General features: G+C 45.2%; 2 annotated features.

Moving 5' to 3' along the window:
- Window positions 1,545-1,839: a silencer, noted in NCBI's record as "tiled region #578; K562 Repressive non-DNase unmatched - State 23:Low". NCBI's record gives its function as "represses a minimal TATA promoter and a strong SV40 promoter by Sharpr-MPRA in K562 cells {active_cell/tissue: K562}" and the evidence as "EXISTENCE:reporter gene assay evidence [ECO:0000049][PMID:27701403]".
- Window positions 5,287-6,125: an enhancer, noted in NCBI's record as "H3K27ac-H3K4me1 hESC enhancer chr1:160960931-160961769 (GRCh37/hg19 assembly coordinates)". NCBI's record gives its function as "activates a minimal SCP1, AML or CMV promoter by ChIP-STARR-seq in naive H9 embryonic stem cells {active_cell/tissue: H9 hESC(naive)}" and the evidence as "EXISTENCE:reporter gene assay evidence [ECO:0000049][PMID:30033119]".

The raw sequence follows: 8,520 nt of genomic DNA on the forward strand, positions 1-8,520 counted from the left end.
AGGGGATGGATATTACAAAGTACATTCTCAAGGGTGGGGAGGATGTTACAAAGTACATTCACAAGGGCAGGGAGGGTGTATTGTCACAAGGGCAGGGAGGATGTATTGTCACAAGGGTGGGGAGGAATGTTACAAAGTACATTCACAAGGACAGGAGTATCACAAAGTACATTATCACAAGGGTGGGGGAATGTCACCGTGGCTTGACCATAGTGCAGCCAGCTCAGAGGACCTTACAAAAAGTTTCATACTTGCACGTGTTTTCTTGTGGCAAAAATATAAAACATTTAATTTCTGGGATTCTTTTTTTTTTTTTTTTTTTTTTGAGATGTAATCTCACTCTGTTGCCCAAGCTGGAATGCAATGGCGAGGACTCAGCTCACTGCAAACTCCGCCTCCCAGATTCAAGCAATTCTCCTGCCTCACCCTCCAGAGTAGCTGGGATTACAGGCGCCCACCACCACGCCTGGCTAATTTTTGTATTTTTAGTAGAGACAGGGTTTCACCATATTGGCCAGGCTGGTCTCGAACTCCTGACCTTGTGATTTGCCTGTCTCGGCCTCCCAAAGTGCTGGAATTGCAGGGTGAGCCACCACGCCTGGCTGGGATCATCTTTTTTTCTACAGAGAGAAAATCAATTGTATCTCTACCAGGCAAACAATTTGCATTTGTATTAATATGAACAGGGATCATTTGTATCACTGTCAGGCTTCTACATATTTAACTTTTCTTTCTAGAGTTGCAAAACAGTACAAGACAAGGAAGGATACTGACCTGTAGAGAATCAGAAAACCCCCAGAAGCATCCTGTCCTCTAGTCTAGACAAATCCTAGTAATCCACTGGAAGGATGCCTGTATTTGTCCATTTCAGAAACTGTCACAATTTTTCCTTAACTAACAGCAGGAATTTTGATAGCCAAAAGTCATATTGTTTATTATCACTGTGGGAGCCAAGGCCTTTGGCTCCCTGAAGTTTGCTGAAAATCACTGACGCAAGGCAGATTAATAGGAAAAAAGGCATACAAACTTATTTAATATGTATACATAGAAGCCTTCAGAATGAAGACCCAACCTCCCAGTGAGGTGCAAAAGCTTATACGCCATCATGAGGTTACAGAAAGAATGAGTTTGGATCCTGCGGGAGAAAAGGAATTCTGTTGATGGGCAATAAATGATTACTAAAGAGAATGATTTGATCAGGAAACAAATTAACTTGTAAATAGTTTTCTTTGGAATTTAGATGACCATGAGAAGCAGGCATTAACTCATGAAAAGGTCTGTTCAGGTGTGGTTACATTTTTGGTCTTACAGGAGGAAAAGAAACCTACTGTTCTCCTTGGAGGGTCTGGATCTTAGGCAAATAAAGGAACTTCAGCTTTTTGGGAGAGACCGTGTGGAGCGGGGAAGGTCAGAGAGATCTTCAGGTTGCTTCTTCGGTTCAGTACTATATTTGGGGGTATCGATTTATAAACCCCAACATTACCTAATGTATTGTTCCCGATGAGCCTCCCTCCAATCCCTTTTCCCCTGTATCCCAATGGCCGGAAACTTGTGGAAATTCTTCCCAAGGCCTCTAAAAGCAGCACTTGCTTTTGCCTGGTTGCTAATGCAAGTTGTGAATTGCGCACGTGAATCACTATCACTGTCCATCCACCACTCTCTTGCTCTAAGGCATTGAAACGGCACTGCAGAGAGACGCCAGGTAACAAAGACTCTCCTTAACCAAGCTCTAGCATGGCTTCTAGCAACTTAAGGCCTTGTCCCTAGGAGGACCTCAGCCCCCCGCTTAAAATGCCTGCCTGAAAAAGCTCATCGCTGTCAGAAAAATTTACTGTGCATCCCAGCCCAAACCTAGCAATAGACACAGGCCCCTGAACTTCATCTTAGTGCAATTACTTAGAAAGAAAGCTTGCAATTAAAACATCTTTCTCTGCCTCTTTGAGATGTAAATCTTCTACCCAGAGCTATTTTCACTGGGACCTGAGAGTTTCTTTGAAATGCAAACATTTGAGGAAATAAATCTTGCTCCAGCTCCCAACCAGGTGGGTGCCTTGCTCTAACTTGCACTACTAGCTCCTGTCGTAAAAATAGGTGCTTATTTCTCTTCTGGACAAGAGCCAATTCACAAATCCAGATTGTCTAGTCACATGGAGCAATTCTCCTTAATATCTTCATGCCTATCCCTTAGCACATCCCAGCCTTCAAAAGGCCTCCTGCATTTTTTTTTTTTTTAAGGAAGTTAAGTTCAGTTCACCTTGGGCCCTCTTCCCTACTGCAATAGTTACTACTTAAAAAAACCTATCCTAGGCCGGGTGCAGTGGCTCACGCCTGTAATCCCAACACTTTGGGAGGCCGAGGTGGGCAGATCACCTGGGGTCAAAAGTTCAAAACCAGCCTGACCAACATGGAGAAACGCTGTCTCCACTAAAAATACAAAAAAATTAGCCGGGCGTGGTGGTGCATGCCTGTAATCCCAGCTATTCAGGAGGCTGAGGCAGGAGAATCGCTTGAACCCCGGACACGGAGGTTGCGGTGAGCCAAGATCGCGCCATTACCCTCCAGCCTGGGCGACAAGAGTGAAACTCCATCTCAAATAAATAAATAAATACCTATCCTTACTTCTTGTCTAAACTATTGTCTGGCTTTGTTTAGCTTTGACACAGGCTTTATAAGCCCACAAGTAACTTTAAGGCAAAGCCTTATAAATTCATCCAAGGCACTGACATTGAAGAATGTCTAACATTTCTGTGATATGCTTCAATCTCACTTCCAGCCTGTTCCAAACCTTCTTTTTAGTTTTCTACTTCCAGAGACTTTTTCCTTTGGTTAATCACCTTGTAATTCTTAGGTCTGATTCTCGAGCTAGCACATTTCAGCCCCTACAAATAAATGCCTTCTCCCAAAATGTGCAGCTCTTTTGCCATGCTACATTCTATTTGTCTTTCTAGTACTATTTTAATAAGTATCATAGCTCAAGCATGATCAACCCTCAGCTTCTTTATATGGTTATAGGAGTCTCTGACAAGCCTGAGGACAAGCATGTTCTGCATATTTTTTCTTGTCAACTTTTTTTAATGTGCAAAACATTAACATGGATCCAGAAGTCAAAACTAGACAAAATGGTAAATAAACTCAGAGAAGTAATACTCCATCATGTATCTATTTTTATTTTTATTTTTTTGAGACAGAGTCTCGCTCTGTCGCCCAGGCTAGAGTGCAGTGGCGCGATCTGGGCTCACTGCAAGCTCCGCCTCTGGGGTTCACACCATTCTCCTGCCTCAGCCTCCCAAGTCGCTGGGACTACAGGTGCCCACCACCACGCCCGGCCAATTTTTTGTATTTTCAGTAGAGACTGGGTTTCACCGTGTTAGCCAGGATGGTCTCGATCTCCTGACCTCGTGATCCGCCCGCCTCAGTCTCCCAAAGTCCTGGGATTACAGGTGTGAGCCACCGCGCCCGGCCGATCATGTATCTATTTCATCTAGACCTTATCTACCTCTTGAAATAACCAATTTAGTTTATTTTCCTTCCTGTGTTTGTTTCTGCAAAAATAAGCAAATATAGTATGCTTTCTTATTTCCCCTCCTTTCGTATCAAAAAGGTGGCCTTTTTTTTTTTAATTTTCTCATAGAGACAGGGTCTCACTTTGTTGCCCAGGCTAGTCTCAAACTCTTGGCCCCAAGCAATCCTTCCACCTCAGCCTTCCAAAGTGCTTGGATTATAGGTGTGAGCCACCATGCCCAGCCATTTGTCTTTTATTTTCCTTTTTTTTTTTTTTTTTTTTTTTGAGACGGAGACTTGCTCTGTTGCCCAGGCTGGAGTGCAGTGGCGTGATCTCGGCTCACTGAAACCTCCGCCTCCTGGGTTCACGCGATTGTCCTGCCTCAGCCTCCTCAGTAGCTGGGATTACAGGCGCGTGCCACCACGCCCAGCTAATTTTTGTATTTTTGGTAGAAACGGGGTTTTACCATGTTGGTCAGGCTGGTCTTGAACTCCTAACCTCGTGATCCACCTGCCTCGGCCTCCCAAAGTGCTGAGATTACAGGCGTGAGCCGCCGCACCAGGCGCCATTGTTTTTTTTAAATTGGGCAGCTTCCAGAACCTGCCCAGGCTCAGATAGACTCCCTATCAAGCTTTTGAATTTTTGCCAATCAGATAGGTAAGGTTAACTATTTTTATCCCCTCTTACTTATCTCCAGCGAACCAGGCCTGTTACGTAGCATCACTGTTTAGAAGTTCCATGTCAGACTGGGCGTGGTGGCTCACGCCTGTAATCCTAGCACTTTGGAAGGCCGACGCGGGCGGATCACTTGAGGTCAGGAGTTCAAAACCAGCCTGGCCAACATGGTGAAACCCCGTCTCTACTAAAACTACAAAAAAATTTAGCCAGGTGTGGTGGCGGGCGCGTGTAATTCCAGCTACTCGAGAGGCTGAGGCAGAAGAATTGTTTGAACTCGGGAGGTGGAGGTTGCAGTGAGCCGAGATCGCGCCACAGCACTCCAGCCTGGGCGACAAGGGCGAGACTCCGTGTCAAAAAAAAAAAAAAAAAAAAGTTCCATGCCAGGAGAGTCTGGCTCCACCTAGTGGTAGCATATCTAGTTGCAGAAAAAGTACCTTTTCTTCGTAGCTGTGCCTTTGTACTTACTTTTACTTACCTACTAAATTTCCTGCTCCTTCCTCCCTAAATGGAAAAAAAACCTGCATTCTAATCCCTTTCCTATGGGTTGCAGCATGTGCCACACTCTTTGAGGGAGGCTTCCATGTGGTCCTTATTGGGCACTTCAACATCTTAAATCATGAGTTGGGCTCAAAGGTAGGAGGAGTGGTACTGAACTCTAGGGTCCACTTTCTCAACATACCAGAGACAAGGAAATGAGGCTGGTTTGTTGGTTTGTTTGTTTGCTTGCTTGCTTGTTTGTTTTTTGGCCCTTCAACCTGCTCTACTGTCCACACACTAAGAACAAAGTGTTGGTGGTGGCAACTTTGAAAAATTCAGGGCCGGCCTGAATGACTCATGCCTGTAATCCCAGCACTTTAGGAGGCCAAGGCAGGTGGATCACTTGAGGCCAGGAGTTCGAGACCAGCCTGGCCAACATGGTGAAACCCTGTGCTAAAAATACAAAAATTAGCTGGGCAGTAGTAGCACGTGCCTGTAATCCCAGCTACTCGGGAGGCTGAGGCAAGAGAATCGCTTGAGCCTGGGAGGCAGAGGTTGTGGTGAGCCGAGGTCTGGCCACTGCACTCCAGTCTGGGCAAGAGAGTGAGACCCTGTCTCAAAAAAAAAAAAAAAAAAGTTGTTCTAAAATGGGTATGGGTATCCCCACCAGTTACATGGCATCTCCCAACACTTCTCATTGGTTTCTCATTCACCCCTTTTTCTTCATTCCTCATTCTTTTGTGGCTGCTCCTAACCACTCTGCCTTCTGCATTCCTTTCTCCCTGGGGATGTTACAGACCACGACCAAAGTAATCTGCATTTTATAAGTCTGCGTTGAAAAACAAATGACGCGGCGGGTGTGGTGGCACACACCTGTAATCCCAGCACTTTGGGAAGCCGAGGCGGGTGGATCACGAGGTCAGGAGATCGAGACTATCCTGGCTAACACGGTGAAACCCCGTCTCTACTAAAAATACAAAAAATCAGCCGGGCATGGTGGCGGGCGCCTGTGGTCCCAGCTACTCGGGAGGCTGAGGCAGGAGAATGGCGTGAACCCAGAAGGCGGAGCTTGCAGTGAGCCCAGTTCGCACCACTGCACTCCAGCCTGGGTGACAGAGTGAGACTTTGTCTCAAAAAAAAAAAAAAAAGAAAGAAAGAAAAACAAATGAGGCTAGCTACTTTTTTTTTTTTTTTTTTTTGAGACGGAGTCAACACAGATTTTCAGGCTGGGCACAGTGGCTCACGCCTGTAATCCCAGCACTTTGGGAGGCTGAGGCGGGTGGATCACCTAAGGTCAGGAGTTCAAGACCAGCCTGACCACATGGAGAAACCCCATCTCTACTAAAAATACAAAACATTAGCCTGGCGTGGTGGCGGGCACCTGTAGTCCCAGCTACTCGGGAGGCTGAGGCAGGAGAATGGCGTGAATCCAGGAGGCGGAGCTTGCAGTGAGTCGAGATTCTGTCACTGCACTCCAGCCTGGGCGAGAGCCAGACTCCATTAAAAAAAAAAAAAAAAGATTTTCAATCTTGGTTAATTGCCAATTACCAACCCATCACCTGTTTTTGCACAGCCTCATATATAAACATCGTTTTTACTTTTTTTTTTTTTTGAACTGGAGTCTCACTCTGTCTCCCAGTGGCGCAATCTCAGTTCACTGCAACCTCCGCCTCTCAGGTTCAAGTGACTCTCCTATCTCAGCCTCCCAAGTAGCTAGGATTACAGTCACCTGTCACCACACCTGGCTAATTTTTTGTATTTTTAGTAGAGACAGGGAGACAGGGTTTCACCATGTTGGCCAGGCTGGTCTTGAACTCCTGACCTCAGGTGATTCACCTGCCTTGGCCTCCCAGAGTGCTAGGATTACAAGCATGAGCCACCACGCCCAGCTGTTTTTACATTTTTAAATGCTTGAAAAAGATTTGATAATTATTTCACAACACACAAAAATTATATAAAATTCACATTTTAGTGTCCACAAAAGAAGGTTCATTGGAACACAGCCATGATCATTGTCTATGGATGCTTTCCCAATAGAACTGGAGTGGTATCATTGTATAGAGACCTGCAGAACCTGAAAAATTTATTCTCTAGCCCTTTACAGAAAGTATGCCAACCCTTGAGCCGGGCACGGTGGCTCACACCTGTAATCCCAGCACTTTGAGAGGCTGAGGCAGGTGGATCATGAGGTCAGGAGTTCGAGACCAGCCTGACCAACATAGTGAAACCCCATCTCTACTAAAAATACAAAAATTAGCCGGGCGTGGTGCTGTGTGCCTGTAATCCCAGCTACTCGGGAGGCTGAGGCAGGAGAATTGTTTGAACCCGGGAGGTGGAGGTTGCAGTGAGCCGAGATTGCGCCACTGCACTCTAGCCTAGGCAACAGAGTGAGACTCTGCCTCAAAAGAAAAGAAAAAGAAAGAAAGAAAGTATGCCAAACCTGACCTAGAATACCCAATTTAAAATCAACCATAGACGCTCTTAGGTGAGGTGCTGCAAAGTGATTTACAGACCTTGCTACATTACGTTTCCAAACTTTGCAGAATACATATTACTACAATTTTTAAGTGAGAAAACTAAGACTGACATAAAACTTTGTCAAGAGTCTGGAATTAAACAAGGTCTGCCTGACTTGGAAACCAGTATTTTTTTCCAGTGCACAACACCCCTTCCTTAAATCTCTGAGGGATACTACATTCTGAATTAATACAAGCAGTATCCATCCACTGGCCCTAATTTTCTCCCTTCAGTCCATTAATACAGTATATCTAGACTATAATTTTGTTTTCCCTGAGTCTTTATTATCTGGGCTTAATGCTGATTCTTCAGAAGTTTCTACATGACAAAATTTTAGGTCCCTTCACCCTCCAGATCACTCCTCTGAATATATTCATTTGTTGATAATGCCCTTAAAGTTTGGCACTTAAGACAGAACTTGATGCAGGGGAAGGGTGCTGTCAGCAGAGTGCCTCCCTAGTTCTAAAAATTCTACATCTTTCCTACTTTATCTATGAAGAGTTGACTTTTTGAACCCAAAGGCAGAATCTGACTTATTACTATTGAATTTCAATTCAATAAAATTTAATAAGCTGGAGTTTACCATTCCTGACTATTTGAATCCTCATTCTGCACACTGAGAATGTTGCAATTCCTACTAACTCCTTGCCGTCCACAAATATGATATGCATGCCTTCTGTTTTTCATCCCGGTCACTGGCAAAATTGCATTAAGTTTTATCCTTTACTCCAGAAGGTGGCACTCATAGGCCCTCCATTTCATAAAGAGCCTCATACTTAATATGCCTCACTCTGTCCAGAGTCTGTCTGTTGGGATAGCAGACTCAAGTGAGATTTTGTCACACTTCAGGGGAAACCGTAGGTCAAACATCATCACTTTTTTTTTTTTTTTTTTTTTTTGAGACTCAGTCTCACTGTCACCCAGGCGAGAGTGCAGTGGCGCCGTCTCGGCTCACTGTGATGTCTGCCTCTCAGGTTCAAGCAATTCTCGTGCCTCAGCCTCTCGTGTAGCTGCAGTTACAGGCACACACCACCACCCCACCCAGCTAATTTTTGGTTTTTTGTTTTTTTGTTTTTTGAGATGGAGTTTTGCTCTTGTTGCCCAGGCTGGAGTGCAATGGCGTGATCTCGGCTCACGCAACCTCTGCCTCCCGGGTTCAAGCGATTCTCCCGCCTCAGCCTCCTGAGTAGCTGGGATTATAGGCATGCACCACCATGCCCGGCTAATTTTTGTATTTTTAGTAGAGACAGGGTTTCTCCATGTTGGTCAGGCTGGTCTTGAACTCCCAACCTCAGGTGATCCGCCCCCCTCGGCCTCCCAAAGTGCTGGGATTACAAGCGTGAGCC

The sequence above is a fragment of the Homo sapiens genome, chromosome 1 (assembly GCF_000001405.40).
Source record: "Homo sapiens chromosome 1, GRCh38.p14 Primary Assembly".
Taxonomy (NCBI): domain Eukaryota; kingdom Metazoa; phylum Chordata; class Mammalia; order Primates; family Hominidae; genus Homo; species Homo sapiens.